The following is a 20,202-nucleotide window of genomic DNA, read 5'->3' as shown; positions in this document are numbered from 1 at the left end:
GACATGCAGTTTACCTATATAATAAACCTTCACAAGCACCCCTGAACCTAAATGTTGAAAATAAATAAATAGAAATAAAAAATAGAAAATGCTTTGGGTAAGCTAACAACACACAGGTGCCTGGTGGGAAAATCATGGTCTGGACAGAAAAGAGAGCACCTAACAGGCATGGGAGGAAAAGTCAGGAAAGATTCTTTGGAAATCTAGGAATGAGAAAGGGCAGCTGGGACATGGTGACACCAAGAGAGTAGGAGCCCCCAGACTCATCGAGGGCCTCAGCCACGAAGTGATCATGTCTGCAGCATGTGGGCAGAACTACACCTTGGCCTTGATGGAAATGGGCTCCGTGTTTGCGTTTGGGGAGAACAAGATGGGGCAGCTGGGCCTTGGCAACCTGACAGACACTATCCCCAGCCCCGCACAGATAATATACAATGGCCAGCCAATTACCAAAATGGCCTTTGGGGCTGAATTCAGTATGATAATGGACTGCAAAGGAAACCTCTATTCCTTTGGGTGCCATGAATATGGTCAGCTGGGACACAACTCGGATGGGAAGTTCATCGCCCGGGCACGGCGGACAGAGTACAACTACAGACTGGTTCCCCATTGAGTGACCATCTTCATTGAGGCAGATCCTGCCTGTACCAAATGTAGCTGTGTGAGACGTAGCCTGTGGCGCTAACCACACACTGGTCCTGGACTCCCAGAAGTGAGTCTTCTCCTGGGGCTTCAGTGGCTATGGCCGGCTGGGCCACGCAGAGCAGGATGAGATGGTCCCCCACCTGGTGAAGCTGTTTGACTTCCCTGGACATCGGGTGTCCCAGATCTATACTGGTTACACCTGCTCCTTTGCCATCAGTGAAGTGGGTGGTCTGTTTTTCCAGGGGGCCACCAACACCTCCCGTGAATCTACCACATACCCAAAAGCAGTGCAGGACCTCTGTGGCTGGATAATCCAGAGCCTGGCTTGTGGGAAGAGCAGCATCATTGTGGCCACCGAGAGAGCACCATAGCTGGGGCCCATCACCGACCTTCGGGGAACTGGGCTAAGGGACCACAAGCCCAAGTCTTCCACTGCAGCCCAGGAGGTGAAGACTCTGGATGGCATTTTCTCAGAGGTCACCATGGGCTACTCACACTCTTTGGTGACACCAAGAGACAAAAGTGAGACCGAGAAAGAGAAGATCAAGAAACTACCAGAATACAACCGCCAAACCCTTTGATGCTCCCAGAGACTTCTCCGACTCTACACCTCTCGTGGCAGCTGTCACTTCCATGTGCACTGGGATGGGAAGTCAAACGAGGTATTTAAAAAAGCAAAAGCTGACCTAAGGTGCATTTTTGTTTAGACTCCATAAGATTCCATTTTACAAGTGATCCAATATTTACCTTTTGTTCTGTATGCTTTCCAAAGTACGTTTTTTTCCCTTTAATGTCGAATTAAAATACTTGCTGATAGTTGACTTACCATTCCTACAAGAGGCAGAAACTTTCAGCAATCTAGGTTTTTTTTTAAGTTTTTTCTTTCTTCCTCTCCTGAATACACTCCCCAAAACACCCCTTTCCAGTTATGATTACCATCATGATCCAAGCAGATGCTACATAGAAGAGGAATCGCCATTTAATCAGAAAAAATGTCCCTTACAGGAACCAGCAGCAGCCAGGCAAAGTCACCGGCCTGCTTCCATCCAAAACCACGCTCACATGCTTTGGAAGCATCCGGGTCCTCCTTTCCTGCTTTTTCTTGCAGATTGGCCTAAGCCGGTGTTGGTTCTGTTTCTCCCCTTGGCTGCCTATAATCTGCAGTGTCCCCCTGGAGGGGGATTGGGAGTCTGTGTTTAGCCATTTATATCTACTTTAGCTGTTAAAGAAGTCCAAATGAAAATCAGGTGATGGTGGAACCATGGGGACTTGGGGGTGGGGCAGAGGTGGTTCCCTGTGGAGCCAGGGCTGAGCCTTGTCACATGCACTCACCAATTAGAGATTGATCAGCCAGCAGTCAAGTGCATTCTCCAGTCCTTGCAAGAAGGATCAGCCCTTTCTGTACCAGCCTTGATCACCTTGTGCTTTGGTCTCCTTTTTTCCCCTACCTGGATCCTGCGTCGCACAGGCCGTCCTGTTACTGAGACTCGGGGTACCGTTCTGCTGACTCAGCTCTCTTTAGTCACGTTTGCTTGGCTCTGGTACCAAATATTTGAGATTACCAAAGAATGTCCTTCCTTGCGTGTCAGCACGGATGCTGTGACTGCCACCAGTGTCCCCGTCAAGTGCCTGTGCCCGAGCTCGCTGTGCTGAGTGAGTAATGAGGTGCCTTTCCTGGAACCCTCCTCTCACCTGGACCCAAGAGAGGCGACAGCTCTGGCTAGGGCTCTTGGTTTCCAGAGGGTCTGGACTGGTTTGGGTGCTTTAAAATAGATATTTAATTCAGTGGTGCTTATGGGGGAGATGAGAATAGAACTTAAATGTGAGAACTGGGTAGATGGGAAAGTTAAATATTGGTCTCTTCAAGTTTTTTTGTTGTTGTTGTTTGCATTTGCTATTGTTACCACTTGTCACTGTCTCCATGTTAAAATGCCAAAAATGATCTAGTTGTTGTTGCTTTTTTCTCTATTTTCCACCCCAGTCACTCCTTACCGTGACTCCCGCCCTTGGAGGGCACGTAGCAGTGTCTGTCCCGCCAGTCCCAAGGCCCTATGGGAGGAAGCTGGCCTGCATCTCTCTAAGACTTAAGTCTTAGAGATGCCACGTGCATCTCGTGTTCTGTGTTCAATCAGTAGTCCAGGGGAGAAGCTTCTGCCACTTCAGAGCTTTGCTAAACTAACCTAATTTGTCCAAATCACCCCAAAACCACCATCTCTAACTCAAACTTCCAGGAGACAGCCTGATCCGTTTGCCTGGACAGGTCTCTTTCCTGGAACGCAACCCAGGCATCTGTGCTCCTGGAATCCTTGACGTCTCTCCTTTGAGTTGTGGTCACCCAGAGGGTTGAGGACGCAGCACCCGAAGTCCTAGCCTTTGCAGGAGCCGCCCTGGGCGGAGCTGCACTTAGATCTTCCGGCAGCCTCATGTAAACCTGGCAGCCAGCCTCTTCTAGAACCCTAGCCAGGGAGTGGAGCAGGAAAGGGACCTTCGAAGTGAAGACTGCCTTGTCCCGCACCTCCCTTTGGCTTAAATTAAAAAATGAACTTCCGAATGGGTTAAATCCTTTAAAACAAGGAGTTGTGGGGAAGGTCGTCTTGTACTCCTAGAGAAAGGTACACAGTTGCCCAGCTGGGAACGTGCTTGGTGCTGACCCCGTGGGCATCTGACTGGTCTTCCAGCTCAGGACAAAGAATTTGAAAGATGATTAGCATGAAGGGGAATCAAAGAGAAGGTTGTGATTTGGTTGAAGGTGCCTGGTTTAGTGCTGTAATTGTATTATTTCATATATTTATATATATATATATATATATATATGCATGTATGTATGTATGTATGTGTATATATGTGTGTGTATATATATATTTCTTAGAGTAAACATTTTAAATAAATGATATAATTGTCTAGAAAACAAAAAAATTATAAATCTATATTATTGGGACACAATGTATAAAAATATAATTTGTGACGATAACATAAATAGGGGAGCAGAGCTATATAGAAGCAGAGTTAGTTGTTTTTAGCTTTATTCTCTGTGGTAAAATATAAATAAAATATGCCATTTTTAACCATTGTAAAGCATACAATTTCAGCATTATGTACATCCAAAATGCTGAGTAACTACCACCACTATCCATTTCTAAAACTTTTGCATCATCCCACACAAAAGCTCTTTACTGGTTAAACCATAATTCCTCAACTTCCTCTCCCATAGCCTCTGGTAACTTCTATTCTACTTTCTGTCTCCATGAATTGGCAGAGATTTTAAGTTAAACTGATATCAATTCCACTGGATTGTTAGAAATTTTGGATGTTAACTGTAATCCCCATTGTAACCACAAAGAAAGTATCTGAAGAATATACGCTAAAAGAAATGAGGCTGAGTGTGGTACTTCATGCTTGTAAGCCCAGCACTTCGGGAGGCCAAGGCAAGAGGATCACTTGAGGCCAGGAGTTCAAGACTAGCCTGGACAACATAACAAGACCCCATCTTTAAAAAAATACAAACAAATAAACAAACAAAAACAATAGTTGGGCATGGTGGCAACCACCTATAGGCCTAGGTACTTAGGAGGCTGAGGCAGGCTTGTGTGAGCCCAGAAGTTTGAGATTACAGTGAGCTATGATCATGCCACTGTACTGCAGCCTGGACAACAGAGCACAACCTTGTTGAAAGAGGAGGGGGAGGGAGAAGAGGGGGAAAAAGGGGAGAAGAGGGGGAAAAAGGGAGAAGAGGGAAAGGGAGGGGAGGGGAAGGAAAGGAAGGAGAGGGAAAAAGGAAAGGAAAAGGGAAAAGAAAAAGGAGAAAGATGAAAGGGGAAAGGAAGAAGCAGAAAGGAAAGGAAAGGAAGACAGCAGAAGGGAATCAAATCAGTTAACTACATTAGAAAAATCAACTACATACAAAAGAAGGCAGAAATGAAGGACTGAGGGACAATAAAAGCTATACAAATAGCAAAAATGGCAAAAGTCCTTCCTTCTCAATAATTACTTTAAATGTAAATGTATTAAACACTCCAATCAAAAGGCAGAGATTGGCAGAATGGATACATAAACTGTCTACAAGAAAATTACATTAGATCCAAAGGCACATAGGTTGGAACTGAAAGTATGCAAAATAACTAAAAGAGCTGGGTGGCTATAATAATATGCAAAATAAAGTAGACTTTAAGTACAAAATAGTCACAAGAAACAAAAAAGGATATACGTTAATAAAAGGGTCAATTCATCAAGAAGATATATCAAGTATAAATATACATGCACTGAAAAACAGAGCTCCAAAGTATAGGAAGCAAACGTTCATAAAATAAAAGGGACAAATAGTTCTAAAAGTTCAAGATTTCAATACCCTATTCTCAATAATAAACACAACAATTTGACAGATTAATAAGAAAACAGAGGACTTGAACAATACTATAAACCAATGAGACTTAATAGACATATGTAGAACACTCCCCATAGACCATATATTGGGCACAAAACAAGCTTCAACAAATTTAGAAGACAGAAATCATAAGAAGTATCTTCTCCAACCACAATGGAATGAAGGTAGAAATCAATGAGAAAGAAAACTGAAAAATTCACAAATATTGTGGAAATCACATACTCAACAACCAATTTATCAAAGAAGAAAACAGAAAAGGAAATTAGGATATAACTTGAAATGGATGAAAACAAAAACACAACATACCAAAACTTACGGGATAGAAGGAAAGCAGTGCTCAAGGGGAAATTTACAGCATACATCTTTACATTACAAGAAAGATCTCAAACTAATAACCTAAGTTTATAACTTAAAGAACTAGAAAAAGAGTAAACTAAACCCAAAGCTGGCAAAAGGAAGGAAATAATAAAGATTATTAGAGTGGAGATAAATGAAGCAGAGAATAGAAAAACAAAAGATAATCAATGAAGTCAAAAGTTGGTTCTTTTAAAAGATCAACAAAATTGACAAGCCTTTAGCAAGACTGACAAAGAAAAAGATAGCAAATACAAATACCTAAAATAAGAAATAAAAATAGGAACATTACTAATGACTCTACAGAAATAAAAAGGACATAAGGAGCATTATAAACAAATATATGCCAACAAATTGGATAACCTGGACGAAAAAGACTAATTCTTAGAAACACACAAATTACCTAAACTAACTCAAGAATAAATAGAACATTTCAAAAGACTTTAACAAGAGTAATCAAAGTCAGTAATCAAAAACCTCCCAACAAGGAAAAGTCCAGAACCAGATGGCTTCAGTAGTGAATTCTACCAAACATTTAAAGAAGAATTAACAGGACTGGGTGCGGTGGCTCACACTTGTAATCCCAGCCCTTTAGGAGGCCAAGGCAGGAGAATCACTTAAAGCCAATAGTTTGAGACCAGACTGGTCAACATAGCAAGACCCTGTCCCTATTAAAAAATAAAAAAATTAGCCAGGCATGGTGGTGCATGCCTATAGTCCCAGATACTTGGGAAACTGAGGAAGGAGGACTGCTTGAGCCCAGCCATTGGAGGCTGGAGTTAGCTATGATGTGCAGAATGTGAGCTTGATTGGAAATAGATAATTACATTCTTTACAGATGTAATTAGTTAAAATGAAGTTATACTGTATTATGGTGGGCCCTAAATGTCATATAATTGGTGTCCTTTGAAGAGGAAAATCTGGACACAGAGACAGACACAGAGGGAAGAATGCCATGTGAAGATGGAGACAGAGACAAAGATGTGGAGAAGCTGGACCTCTCATCTCCAAGATGTGGAGAAACTGGTAAGAATGTAAAATGGTGCAGCTGCTATAGAAAACAGTAAGGCAGTTCCTTAAAATATTAAAAACAAAATTAATCCATGATCCAACAATTTTACTTATGGGGGTGTGTGCGTATATATATATTGGCAAGGCACAGTGGCTCATGCCTATAATCCTAACGCTTTGGGAGGCCAAGGCAGGAGGATCGCTTGCCAGGAGGTTGAGACCAGCCTGGGCAACACAGCAAGATCCTCTCTCTACAAATTATTTTTTATTAGATGGGCATGGTGGTGCACAGCTGTAGTCCCAGCTACTCAGGAGGCTGAGGCAGGAGGATCACTTGAGCACAGGAGTTTGAGGTTACAGTGAGCTATGATTGTGCCACTGCACCCCAGCCTGGGTGACAGGGCAAGACCTGCCTCCAAATGAGAAAAAAAAAAGAATTGAAAGCAGGGTCTTGAAGAGATATTTGCACTCTCTTGTTCACAGCAGCATTACTCACAATAGCCAAAAGGTAGAAACAACTCAAGTGCCCATCAACAGATGAATAAATGTGGCCTATCCATACAATGGACTATTGTTTAGCTTTAAAAAGGAAAGAAATTCTGACACATGCTATAACACGGATAAACCTTGAAGGTATTATGTTAAGTGAAATAAGCCAGTTACAAAAGGACAAATACTGTTATGATTCCACTTATATAAGGTCCCTAGAGTAGTGAAATTCATAGAGACAGAGTAGAATGGAGTAGTTGACAGGACCAAAGATATGGGAAAGGGGGAATTTTTGTTTGATGGGTACAGTTTCAGTTTGGAATGATGAAAAAGTTCCGGAAAAGGAGAGTGGTGATGGTTGCACAACATTGTGACTATAATTAAAGCCAATGAATTGTATACTTAAAAATGACTTAAATGGCAAATTTTATTTTATATATATTTTACCACAATAGAAGAACTGAAAAAACAAATCAAGAATCATCAATGGGCAGAAAATTGTTGGACGAAAGGCTGGAAACAGGATATCCCACACACTTGCAAAGCATCACCCCACAGATTACTTACTAATTTCAAAAAGGAACAGGTACCTGATATAGTTTGGGTATTTGTCCCCACCCAAATCTCATGTTGAAATGTAATCCCCAGTGTTGGAGGTGGGGCCTGATGGGAGGTGTTTAGGTCATGGGGCAGATCCTTCATGGCTTGGTGCTGTCCTCACCACAGTGAGCAAGTTTTCAAGAGATCTAGTTGTTTTAAGTATGTGGCACCTCCCCAGTCCTTGCTCCTGTTCTCACCATGTGAGACGCCTATTCCCCCTTTGCCTTCCCACCATGAGTAAAAGCTCCCTGAGGCCTCTCCAAAAGCGAGCAGATGCTAGTGCCATGCTTCCTGTACAGCCTTCAGAAACCTAAGCCAATTAAACCTCTTCTTTATAAACTACCCAGCCTCAGATATTTCTTCACAGTAATGCAAGAACAGACTAACAGTACCTTTACCATAGCAAAATGTGGTATAAACCACCTTAACCAAGTAATCAAATTTAATGGTGCCAAGAGCGACAGGAGCTGCCATCATGTATCTCCTGATATAATACAGTGAGGAGAGCAAAAAATCACCCGGTAGCGCCTATTTGACCAAACCATTTAACCTGAACCTCATCATGAGGAAAAGATCAGAAAAATCCAAGTGGTTTTATAGAGACAGTGTAGCTGGGTTCTTCAATATCAATGTCATAAAAGACTAAATAAGGCCTGGGAAAACTCTTCTACTAGATTAAAGCACACAAGAGACACAGCAACTATAAGAAATGCATGTCCTTGACTGAATCTTGGAATTTCAAATGACCACTACAAAAGACTTGATTGGGACAAGGAAAACTGAATGTAGCCTATGTATGAGGTAGAAAGTACAATCATCTTATTGTGGTGAGACAGGAGAATGTTCTTGTTCTTAAGGAGATGAGATGCATATTCAGGTATTTATGGATGAAATTACAATATCTCCAAGTAACTCTTACATGACTCAATAACAATACAGGTAGAGTGAGGCCTGAAGAACACTCTGGCTTTGGAAGGCAGGAAAGCATCTGAGTAAATCATTTCAGAAGAGTAGTAGGGCTAACCACTGGATTACAAGAACACCACAAATGAACAGGCAATGAGAGATAAGAGCTGCTGGTAGAAAGTGGCAGGGCTGCAGGAGGCCGCAGGGCTGGACTGGCGAGAACAGGCAGACCTGACCACGCTGGTGAGCTGACAGCAAGAGGTAGCAGAGAATGAGAAAGCACACAGGGCCCACAGATGCGATCCAAAGCAGAGCACAAAAAGTGAAGACTTATTCCAGGAAGGGTACTGACCATTTACTCTTTATTGAACACCAGTCAAAAGGAAATGAGCTTCTATTACAACATAAGTGACGCAGGGTAGACAGAAAGGGTGGCTTTCTAAAAGAACACATTCTGGAGGTAATGAGAGAGGAGGACACAGGGCGGTCTCAGACCCATCCCTCCTACAAGTGACCTGGCAAAGGAAAGTCTTACTGGCTCCATTCGTCCTCCTCCTATAGTTCAAAGACTGCACACATCTCCTTGCTCACCTACAAACTTGAGAGTGGCTTGAGAATTAAAGCCAATTGCTAAAAATGGGACAGCAAATAACTGGCTTAATAGACACAAAACCCATTATCTTAAGTTAAAAGAACAAAAGTCAGCCGCTTAGTGAGATCCCACATGCATCCCATGAAATCACTTTTACCAAAACATCCATTTTCCCAACTCATCTTCCTCACAAGAAGAAAGCAATCATCCTCTACCGTGTCTACCTTCAGATTGAAAGAATGGCCAAAAAGACACAGTGTAACATGCTTTGATTTGCTGTGAGAAATGAGATGTAGTTCAACACCACTGTGATTTGTAATGCCATTTACATAATTAAACATACAGACAAGTGGCATGAGGAGGTGGATATGGTTAATGGAGTTGCAGAAGAGCTAAAAATAGCAGACACAGCTACAGGCTGGAAGGGACGCTGAGGGCAGCACCTGCTGATGGGCGCTGATGGCCACAGAAAGATTGTCAATACACCAGAAGCATCTTCTCTATTTAGCTGGGGCCTTTTAATCAAGATTTCAAAGCTCCCCACAGACATGGAGCAGCTGGCAGTGGCCTGTTTCACAGATGCAAACTGAAGGTTATCATCGGGCCACAGAGGGCTTGCCCAAGAGTTCATCTGGTCCCAAATTCCAGCTCAAAAACTTACCAAAAACCTGCCTTCCACTAAAAGACCTGAGAGTGGGTTCATCCAAACCAGTTTATAATCTGGTAGGGCACTGGGCCACATTGAGCTTTCAGATTTGTTTTGTTTATACCATACCAGTTTCTTCCTTTTCTTCCTCTTTCTCCTCCCTCTTCTTTTTTAAAGTCTGAATTAGTTGCTGACACCCAAAAATTCACAAAGATACCCCTGTCGGCAGCTGGGCACCCCTGGGCTCATACTCCCAGAGCTCTGTGGTACGTAGGTGCTCACCAATCCCTGCTGTGTTTTCTTACAATTTCTTACTCGCTTCTGTGGCCTACTTGTCCAGAAGGTATTAAGTTTGCTTAACATCAGTTTTCTTAAAACTGGCTTAGATTTCTAACCTGTACCACCTCATGGTACCTACCTCAAGATATCTATGCACTAAGCAAAAGTGGTGTGTCCTATTCTTCAATCTTTGCAAAATGCCTCCTGGCACTAGTTTGAGCTTGCTGCGGAAGTCTGTGTTCACTTTCTCTACTTTCCCAATGATCTATACACCATAAACAAAGCCCTTTACTTTCAAAGTTGTCTTTCCAGAGCAATATTTTCCCTTTTCCTTTTGAGCCCCCCTGCCCCACCACCACCTCATCACTGCTTTAGTGTTGTTAAGGACTTTTCCCTAGACTTCTTCCAGATAGGGTGACAAAGTCCCCAAGTACAGGGTCAGTTTCCCTTACCTGAAATGCATGAGACCAAAGTGTTTCAGACTTTGAATTTTTTGTGATTTTTGAATATTTGCACTATACTTAGGTTGAACATCCCATATCTGAAAACCCAAAATCCAAAATGCTCCAATGAGCATTTCCTTTGAGTGTCATGTCAGCACTTGCAAAGTTTTGAATTTGGGAGCATTCTAGACTGCAGATTTTTAGATTTAGGAGGCTCAACCTACACAACCTGCGATTTTATCAAGAAAAACAAATACGCGTGTGGTTGTTCAGGCTTTCTTCCCTATGCTAAAAAAGAAAGGAGGAAGAGGTAGAAATCTGTAATACCACCAGTTGATTTACAAGTGCACAAGGATACAGGTGAAAACAAACATACATGATGTGATTCTTGCCTTAATTAACAAGACACAAGTGGATAACCAGACTAAGGTTAACCACTCATACTTACCACTGACCTATTATCTACTTGTTTACTATCTCTCCATCCTTACATTCCATACAACTAGTATGCAAGTGCTAAAGGGTAAGAGCTTTGTTCTGTTCTGCTGTATCCCCAATGCCTGGAACAGAGCATGGTGCACAGAATCTTCAATAAATACCTGTTGAGTGAATAGGTAAATGAATGATTTCCCATTTAGTTCTCATGCCCTGTGAGGCTGCTTGATACTACAACTGAGGAAACTGCGGCCACAGAGTGTTTATAATTTGCTCAAGGTTATCCAGGACCACCAGCCTATGGTGTGGGTATGACAGAGTAGGGAGACCCGGATTTATAAAGGGAGGCAATCCTGAAAAACACTGGTGAGCTACACATTCCACTTCCCCCCTGCCTTACAGCATATGGCATGTACATCAGAATGGAAAAAGCTCTCCATGGTCCAGCTGGGGTGAGAAACAAGTGGACACCCTCCCTTCAGGAGGCCAGGCTCTCCAGCAGCCTGTGGCTCCCCAGGCAGCTCTATTGGAGACAAAGGAGAAGCGTTTTAATAATGTTCATCTTTCTCCTTTTACAAAAACTATTGATTCTCAATAGTGGGTGTATTTAACAGAATCACCCAAGAGGCTTCTGCCATCTCTATTTCCTCTCTCTACCTTCCCCAGCCCCAGATTCTAAGCTATGGGTCCGAGGTAGGGGTGGGCAGAGGGGTTGGTGAAGAATCACGACCACAGTGGGAAACTCGGTCCTGTGTTCCAGCTGCAATGTCCATCAGGCTCTCTAGCACCAGTACCTACAGACAGACCAGCTGCTGCAACAGGGATTCTCTCCGAGCCCTGCACAGACCCACTGCACGGCCCTGGACAGTTTACTAACCTCCCAGAGCCTCACAGTCATCTGCAAAAAGGGTCAACACTGCCCCTACCTAAAGGGGCACTGTGAGAATCAAATGAGAAAACCTACTCAAAGCACCTGATCCAGGACCAGGCATAAGGAATGTCTGTGTCTACACACACACACACACACACACACACACACATGCACACACAGATGTACACACACACATAGACAACAGTGCCACCAACACCTGGATATTTCACAATAAGAAGGTAGAAGCCTTGACTTCATTCCCATCTCATACATTTAATGACCACAAATTTTGATATATTGAGTTTATGAATAAAAGGGGAGCTACTGGTATCTTTTTTTAGACTAATAGAATGTTCTATTTTTTTAAGTCACACAAATATATCTGCATTTAATGAGACAGTTGTGCCTACCTGTCAGGCCTAAATAATCGGGCTGCCAAAAAGAGAGCTACAGTGACTAAAATACAGATATATTGCAGACTCTCTGGGAAGCCTGGTGAAATGACAGGATTTCAAGAAACAGTGTGGAAGACACTTCCTCATACCTGCTGTGCTGCAGAGCCTCAGAGATGACCCTCCAGCCAGGGATGTTACCCAGAGCCCCAAGACACATGCCCAGGGACTTGCAGATGTGGGCATTCGCTTGGGTTCTTGGACAGGCCACCTAGCCTCACCCTGGGCCTTGGGCTGCCCTATACAGTGACAGGGCTGAGCTAGATGGACACAGAAACCTCAAAAACCCATTCCCAGCTGTTGATCCCTCCTGGTACCTCTCCTCCCGACTGAAGACAGAGCTGCTGCCTGCCATCCAGGACAGGTCCTGAAGAGAGTTCTCAACTCTGATTTCTTTGAACCCTTCTCCCTCCTCATGTTCTTGGCTGGCACTGCTTATGCCCAATCCACTTTCCTCTGCCCTCGCTAGAGCCAGAACACAGCTGGCCTCCTCTTTTCCAGGCCATCGTTCTTCAGGTACTCGAGGAGCTTGGATTCTCTCCACACTCCCCACTTCATCAGGATTTTAGAATATGACAACTCATTGCCCCCAATGGGAAGATGCCAGACCCAGGAGACTGGCAGCAGCCACACTCCCTCCTTGCAGCCACTGCCCTTCCTGCCCATCAGCTTCTTAGCCTGGAGACGTTCTGAGAGACAGCCTCCCAAAGGCCAAAGCACCAAAGGTGCCTACCATTTCATCTCCAGGGCTCCTAAACAGGTCCTGCTAGAAAAGGTGGCAAGTGGATTCGATGGGGACTAAAAACAAAATTCATCTGGAGGGACGTGATCCCTAAGGAGAGAGACATCAGGGTTCCTAGCAGCAGTTACACTGGCAAAAATCAATCTCCCCTGAAAACCAATTAGGAGCACACAGGATTTTCACTTCGGAAGCCGAGCTGTTAGAGGCAGCCTGCTTTGGAGAGGAAAAGAAAGAATGTTCCTGGACATGCTCGCCTCCTTACCCCAGCTTGCTCCTCTGCCAATAGCCGGTACCTTAGAAAGAGCTCAGCCACAAAGGGTGCCACTGGGTGTTCTGGCACAGATGTCCACAGGGAGATTTGCATGATCCCAAAGGGCTAGGTACATGGCTTAGGGGCTGAAGGGCAGTATATGCTGACAGAGCCAGCTGCTGGCACCATCTCTTGGAAGGAATGATTGCTTTCTAGGACCTATGGCAGGTGAAGCACTGAGCTAGGCACTCTGAAGATGTTTACACTTGATCCTTGCAACAACCCTGTGAAGTCAATATTGCTGTCCCTGTATTACGGATGGGGAAAGTGATGCCCAGAGACACTTAACCAAGGCCACACAACTTGTTTCAGTAACACAGATGAGATTCTTTTAACCTTTTCTACTACCTGCTACCTTCTCTCAAGGCAGTTCAGACTGTGATCCAAAGAACTGCAGCTCTAACTGCTATGACTATTTTATGGACTAATGTGGACAAACCAGAGATTACAGATCAGGGTAACAGGGATGTCAATGCTGCTGGGACTCTAAGGAAGCATGTGAATAATTCTAACAGGATCCCCCGCCTCCACATGGAATTTATACACCACCTTCCCAATAAACACTCAAGCCTGGCAATCCCTTTCCTCTCCACCCCTCTCAGGAAAAGCAGGTACTGCTGAGCTTCTCCAGGCCACGTGCTGGTACCTCTCAGGTAGTACTACTTCCAGCAAGGCTCAGCATGTGCCCACCACAGCCCTTGGTGCCCACTGCCACCCAGACTCGTGCTGGAGCACTGCAGCCCAGAGAGCAGGAAGAACCAAACCCGTGGGCCCTCTCTTCACCCACTGCTGCAGAAAGGCAGCCCACGAAACTCTGGGCAATGCGCCTGTACACCAGAGAGAGAGACAGGGGCAAGGGCAGATGAAGAGAAGCAAGAAGAGAGGCAGGACACTGATCTTTATCTGGGAAGAGAATGCTAGCCAAGGTCCCAATAAGGTTGAGACAAACTCTCTGCTGATGCCACTTCTACAGAGGCCCCGTCCAATGTTTACAGAGAACTCCACCCCAAGGCCGGTCTACAAGCCGCAGCTATGGCAGGCATGCAGGCGGGCTGCAGCATGCTCCTGGAATGTCTTTGGAATGATCTGCACCCAGCTACGAGTGCCTCAGTGCCCCTCCTCCTCAGCCTCCAGGTGGGCAAAAGGACGGCACAGCTCCTGCTGCCGAACCTTGACTTCTTCACAGAAACAAGCAAGCATGACCATATCCAGATGCCAACTTGAGGTTCCTTCATGCAACGGCTGCTTGCCATGGGAAGTCCAAGCCACTGATATGTTAGCTGTTTGCTCCATGTGCCTTCCCTGGGCCCTGAAAAAATCCCCTTGGCTGCCAAAATCGTGTGACAGTCCATCCGCCCCCAAGAAAGTCAGAATCTGCTTGTTTTACAAAAAGCAGCCAAGGAAAAGGCGCTTGAAGGGTGCCACCAGCTACCAAGAGAAGGACTAGTGCAAGGAATCCTCCTATCCCCCGCCCCTCTGCCAGCTGGGGAAGCAGTCCACAGACACAGTTCTTAATTTGGCCTTAACCTCGGGTACCTGGCAATGACAAACAATGTGACTTACGAGGTCTAGGAACAAAGTAGCTGGGGTTGAGGAGTCAATGCCCCAGCCCAGCCCATCATAAAACCCCAATATTTCTCCTTCCTCATCTAATCCCAACTGCTCCTTCTTTACATTTTTCTGGATCCAAGCCAAGCCATCAGTAACTTTCTGGATGAGGAGGAGAACAGGGTGAGAGAAAAGCGGGCCCTTCCTCAGCAAGCCGCGCTAAAGGGGCAGGGAGAACGAACGGGATGCTAAGTCCCCACAGGGCAGTACAAACCTGGTCAACCTGTCCCCCAGGGCAGCCACAACAAAGGGAGGTCAGATAACACTAAAAAGCCAGGTCTCCCAACAAAAAGAGGGCAGGAGATGAAAGATCAGGCCTTGGGTAGAGGGCCTTTCAGCCTCCTCAGCTAGATTTAATCAGTCTCAAAGCTACCAGGTTACAGGCCCTCAGAGGATGACATCGGGGGAAGGGGCCTTCTCCCCACCCTGCCCAAGGCCTTCTCCCAGCACGCCTGTTCTTCCAGCCAACAAGTGGCCCAGGCCTGCCACCTAGTGGGCTCCGCTCACACACCACAGGAAGAGACCGGATCCCAGAAGAGGGGCTGCTGTGACCAGAGTCCTGCCAACAGTTCCAGGACTTCATTCACAAGGCACAGTGGGGTTCTCTCTGGCTGTGGCAACAACCAAAACTGCTGGAGAAAACCGTTTCCCAGGGACCAGTGACAAATGAAAAATAGGAAGGAGTGAGCTGCATTCTCAGAGCCTGGCCTTCTTCCCCACCTTTTCTAAGCCCAAACAGCTCCTGCACCCAGAGCCTGTCCCCAGTGAAGCACAGGATATGCGTGGGACAGGAATGCCAATTTCAAAATGCTAGTCCTAGAGTGCCCCTACTCACACACACAGGTTCTAAGCTCTGGCCTCATCCTAAGACTCTGGCCTAAAAGCTGTGATTTTTAAACGGCCATTAGATGAGTGAATTTTACTATGCATGAGGCCGTGTCCCAGAGGTGGACAGGGTACAAGGCTTTGGAGGGGCATAACTGGTAAACCTCAGAGGGCAGTACAGGCACATTCCATGTGCTGTGCACCTGGTGCTGCTCTAAGCTTGTCCCTTATCTCAAGAAGTCTTATGACTATCCAGGGAGGAGGCAGGATCACCAGCAGGGACAACAGAGGATTCAGTGCCCTGCTCAGGGAGCACAACTGGGAAGCAGGATTCGACCCCAGGCAACCCGGCTCCTGAATTCACACCATGCTGCGGCAGCCTCCAATCCTAGCTGCTAGACATAACAAAAGAAGAATAAATAAAAAACTCACACTCTAAAACCCTAAAAACCCAGGTCTGCTCTGGCTAGAGGGCCCCAGCAAAGGAGCAGAATCTGGGCTACCCTAGAGGATAAGATAAAAATCAAGTTAGGGCAATGCAGGCGCTTTTTTTTTTTTTTTTTTTTTGAGACAGGGTCTCACTCTGTCACCTAGGCTAGAGTGCAGTGTGACATGATCTCGGCTCACTGCAACCTCGACCTCCAAGGCTCAAGCAATTCTCGTGCCTCAGCTTCCCCAGTAGCTGGGACCACAGGTGTACACCATCACGCCTGGCTAATTTTTGTATTTTTTGTAGAGACAGGGTTTTGCCATGTTGCCCAGGCTGGTCTCGAACTTCTGGCCTCAAGCAATCGGCCCACCTCTGCCTCCCAAAGTGCTGGAATTACAGGCATGAGCTACCACACATGGTGGCAAATTCTTATTAGTGAGAAAAAGAACTGCCTTCAAAGAAGTGCAACCAGAGGCCCAGAGAAAAAAAAAAAATAACAGTCCCCCAGAGGCCCGGCAAGGCCTGAACACAAAAGAAAAACATACATTCCTTTTCAGCCCTACCGGTGGTGACTCCAGGGAAAGCCAGAGAGCAAGAAAGATGAGAAGCCTTAGACCACCGTTCCTCTCCCTCCTACCCTTCCAGATCCTCAAGAGGTCAAGATGTTGTGCTGGGGTCAGCACGGGGCACCAACTGCCCTTGCTCAGCTGTGCCTTCTTGTGGAGACAGCAAAGGCAGGGCCCATAGCCATGATGTCAGTTCCTGGAGGAATTTCATCGATTCCTCATTAGCATGGGAGAACTGCCTGCCCACCTGTTAGAAAAACTTTCCATTTATGGTGACAGATGGGGCAGTGTTAATGGGCTGGCTTTAACTGGGAAACAAGGAAGTTCAGGCTCATTGCAAAAGGAATTAGCATTAAAGCTAGGTGGGTCTGCTCATTTACAGGGAGGCTTGGGAGAAAGCTCTGGGAACTTGCCTCACATGCTAGGGGTATCCAGGCACTCAAGACTCAGGCCTAGAGGCAGCCATGCCCAACCAAGGCCTGCCCCTAGCAGACCCTCTAGCACCAAAGGCCACGCTGGCTTGACCTCCATCTCAGTCCTTATCCTGAAGCAATTCCCAGGAGGGAGTCGCCAACTCTGGAGCACTTCTCTCCGATTCTGTCTGATCTGGTAGAAAACACTGCCCCCATCTGAGGTCTGGCCAGGGCCATACTTTGGACAGCCAGCCAGGGGAAGAGCTGTCTGCTTTGCCATGGGTGGCATCTTAACAGATCATCTTCCAAACAGAGACATGCACATCTGGGGTCTCAGTGGAAGCCCTGAGGTCAGCTGCCTGGAAGGCCAGATGAGCACTAGGAGAAAATAGTCAAAGACGACTCTGTGGGATATTCCCTGCTTGGTCCCCAGAAGCAACCCCCATGAATGTCTGGGCAGAATTGACAGCATTGTGCCTTCTCGAGGACCCCTCCACTGCTAACTATGGAGAACTGAGCAGCTATCCCAATTGCGCAATGTTTTGTAAATGATTCAAGCCCAGGTATGGAGAGAAGACAGGTTCTGTACTGGATGTCCTCAGTTTGAGGTCCCTGAAGGCACCAGGAAAGGTGTGGCCAACCAGCATCTAGAGAACAGAGGTCCTGAACAGACGTCGGGCCAAGGTGGATGTGGGTGTTTTCAAGAGGTAATGAGGAGGCAACAAACAACAGTGGTGGATTTCCAATTGTCCCCCCATAGCCATTCTTTGGTATGGAGCTTTGGCTGGGCATCCAGCTACACTGTCTAGACATTTCCTAAACAACCTGTCACTAGCAGTGGTCATGTGACTATCTTCTGGCCAACAGGGTATGTCCAGAAATGATGGAGCCCAGTTCTGGTCTTGCCCATAAAAGAGCCAAACGGGAATGCACTCACATGGCCCGTGTCCCCTTCGCACTGGTCAGGAACTGAAGAGAAATGGAGCAAACAGTTTGCACCCAAGGCTGCTGAGGCTGGCAGAGCTCCCACCAGTCTTGGACTACCTTTAGACAGTTCCATGAAAGAGAAACATGTCTTTCTTATTTATGCTACTGTATCTGGGGGCCTCTCTGCTACAGCAGCTCAATCTAGACCATAACTGATAGAAGGACCCAGAGGTAGGGAGGCCAGAGAGGAGTCTAGGCATCTCCTTGTCAAAAAAGGGCATCTGGCTCAGGCCAGAAACCCAAGAGTCATTCTCAACACCTCCTTCTTTCTCACCCCACAGCCCCCATCCTCACCAAATGTGTCATTTCTTTCTCCACATAATTCTTCCCCCAGATACTGTCACTGTCCTTTGTCTGGGTCACCATGATCTCTCTGAAGGGCCCTTGGGAGTCCTGTTGATTCCCCTGCCTCTGCTCTTGCCCACTCTGCCATCTTCCCCAGAATCTCTATGAAAACCTTTCACATGCTCCCTGCTGCTTCTCAAACCCAGTTTCCTGCCATGCCCATGAGTCCCCACCCACTGTTCACACCCTTCTTGCTGGCAGCTGCATTCACTCACTGAACTCTCTACCACCCAGGCCGGGGCACACTCCCCACAAACTGCAGAGCTCCCCCTCCTCATTCTTTGTCTCCTTCCCACTTACCCTCTAGGTCGCGGCTCACATGTCCACTCCTCAGAGAAGCATTAGCTGACCTCAATCTAAATTAGGGCATCACTATCACTCTCTCTCTCTCTGCAGCAGTATGCTTATCTCAGCTGGTAATAGTTACTTGTTTGACATCTGTTTCTCCAACTGGACCAGGGGCTCCAGTAGGGTCAGGATCGGGTCACTTCTGGATGGCCAGCCCAGCCCGGGCTGCAGCCCTGCTCAGGGAACATGTCTTGAATGGATGGATGGAGCATGCAGAAAGGGGGCAGGATAGCTAAGGCACAGAGGCTCACAGAAGGGACATTTAAAGGAAGAGTAGCTACTTGGTGATAAATACCCCTTGAAGGAAATGTGAAGAAGGAAAGTTATCAGATTTGTTGGAAAGAAGATCATGGTAATTTCTTTTCTTTCTTTTTTTTTTTTTTTTTGGAGATGTAGTCTCACTCTGTTGCCCAGGCTAGAGTGCAGTGGCACAATCTCGGCTCACCGCCACCTCCGCCTCCCGGGTTCAAGCAAGTCTCCTATCTCAACCTCCCAAGTGGCTGAGATTACCAGCGCCCACCACCACGCCCAGCTAATTTTTGTATTTTTAGTAGAGATGGGGTTTCACCATGTTGCCCAGGCTGGTCTCGAATTCCTGACCTCAGGTGATCCATCCGCCTTGGCTTCCCAAAGTGCTGGGATTACAGGCGTGAGCCACTGCACCCAGCCAATCATGGTAATTTCTGAGATCACGCCAAATTGTAATGAGTTTGAGAAGAAAGATTATGACTACCACTGTGATTCCAAGACACTCTATGGCAAGGAAAGGGAAGAGCCAGGAGGCAACCAGAGTAGCTGCTTGGGAAAGGTCTATTGGTTTTAGACAGGGATATCTGAGGAGAAAGTGGGGAAGTAACAGAGCAGGCTCTAAGAGGAGGGGAGGAGCTAGATCCAGGATCCAGGTCACTGGCAGAGAGGCCCCTTTTAAGAGGAGAGGAAGCAAGGAGGAGAGGGCGGTGAGGCCAGGATGGAGAGAACTCACAAGTGGATGTGGGGAGGGCACAGGAGGGTGCTGCTGGAGCGCAGCAAGAGGACGGCAAGGCAGCAGCAGAGAGGGTAACGCCCAGGAGGTCAGAGAGCACGAACTGCATGAGAACCCAACCATCCAGCCTCTAGCGGCCCCCAGGAGCCCAGGCCCAGATGCAGAGAAAGCAGTTGGTGGGGTTCACCCAAGGCTGGAATCCAGCAACATGGGCATGGAGGAAGTCTCTGGAAATGAAGGGAAGGAGGGTGCTGGATATATCTAGCTGTCAGTACAGACCCTGTGGGCAGGGAGACATGTCACACCACGAGACCTGATGGGCCATGAGAATTGAGTCATGATGAAATCCAAGATGGAGGTAAAGCAGATTTCTGATATACAAAGTGCCATCAGAAGTAAAATGGCAATTGGAATAAGGTTAAAGACCAGCCTTACTAGTAGGAAGACTGAGAAACATGATCCAGAAGCCAGTGGCCATGAATGCTTTTCACCTTTAGCCTCACTAAGAAAATGTTTAGGTACATAATTTCTGTTGAGAGCTT

At 46.3% G+C, this 20,202-nt stretch overlaps 1 protein-coding gene and 1 pseudogene across 2 annotated transcripts in view, besides 6 other annotated features; one reads left to right on the top strand and one right to left on the bottom strand.

The window, feature by feature from the left end:
* CHCHD6 (coiled-coil-helix-coiled-coil-helix domain containing 6) overlaps positions 1 to 20,202 on the bottom strand; it is a 256,181-nt gene that overhangs the window by 192,761 nt on the left and 43,218 nt on the right. The gene's annotated exons all lie outside the window — the stretch shown is intronic.
* On the top strand, positions 209 to 1,423 carry RCC2P4 (regulator of chromosome condensation 2 pseudogene 4; annotated as a pseudogene).
* Positions 15,027 to 15,126: an enhancer, noted in NCBI's record as "active region_20442". NCBI's record gives its function as "activates an Ori minimal core promoter by ATAC-STARR-seq in GM12878 lymphoblastoid cells {active_cell/tissue: GM12878}" and the evidence as "EXISTENCE:reporter gene assay evidence [ECO:0000049][PMID:35858748]".
* Positions 15,027 to 15,844: a biological region, named in NCBI's record as "Sharpr-MPRA regulatory regions 1012 and 11425".
* Positions 15,100 to 15,394: an enhancer, noted in NCBI's record as "tiled region #1012; K562 Activating DNase unmatched - State 12:CtcfO, and HepG2 Activating DNase unmatched - State 8:EnhW". NCBI's record gives its function as "activates a minimal TATA promoter and a strong SV40 promoter by Sharpr-MPRA in K562 cells, with weaker activation in HepG2 cells {active_cell/tissue: HepG2 | K562}" and the evidence as "EXISTENCE:reporter gene assay evidence [ECO:0000049][PMID:27701403]".
* Positions 15,160 to 15,454: an enhancer, noted in NCBI's record as "tiled region #11425; K562 Activating non-DNase unmatched - State 12:CtcfO, and HepG2 Activating DNase matched - State 12:CtcfO". NCBI's record gives its function as "activates a minimal TATA promoter and a strong SV40 promoter by Sharpr-MPRA in K562 cells, with weaker activation in HepG2 cells {active_cell/tissue: HepG2 | K562}" and the evidence as "EXISTENCE:reporter gene assay evidence [ECO:0000049][PMID:27701403]".
* Positions 15,207 to 15,844: an enhancer, noted in NCBI's record as "H3K27ac hESC enhancer chr3:126470659-126471296 (GRCh37/hg19 assembly coordinates)". NCBI's record gives its function as "activates a minimal SCP1, AML or CMV promoter by ChIP-STARR-seq in naive H9 embryonic stem cells {active_cell/tissue: H9 hESC(naive)}" and the evidence as "EXISTENCE:reporter gene assay evidence [ECO:0000049][PMID:30033119]".
* Positions 16,483 to 17,120: an enhancer, noted in NCBI's record as "H3K27ac-H3K4me1 hESC enhancer chr3:126469383-126470020 (GRCh37/hg19 assembly coordinates)". NCBI's record gives its function as "activates a minimal SCP1, AML or CMV promoter by ChIP-STARR-seq in primed H9 embryonic stem cells {active_cell/tissue: H9 hESC(primed)}" and the evidence as "EXISTENCE:reporter gene assay evidence [ECO:0000049][PMID:30033119]".

This window comes from Homo sapiens, chromosome 3 (genome assembly GCF_000001405.40).
Source record: "Homo sapiens chromosome 3, GRCh38.p14 Primary Assembly".
Taxonomy (NCBI): Eukaryota; Metazoa; Chordata; class Mammalia; order Primates; family Hominidae; genus Homo; species Homo sapiens.
Note: the sequence above shows the minus strand (reverse complement) of the source record. Positions and strands in the feature narration are given on the sequence as shown.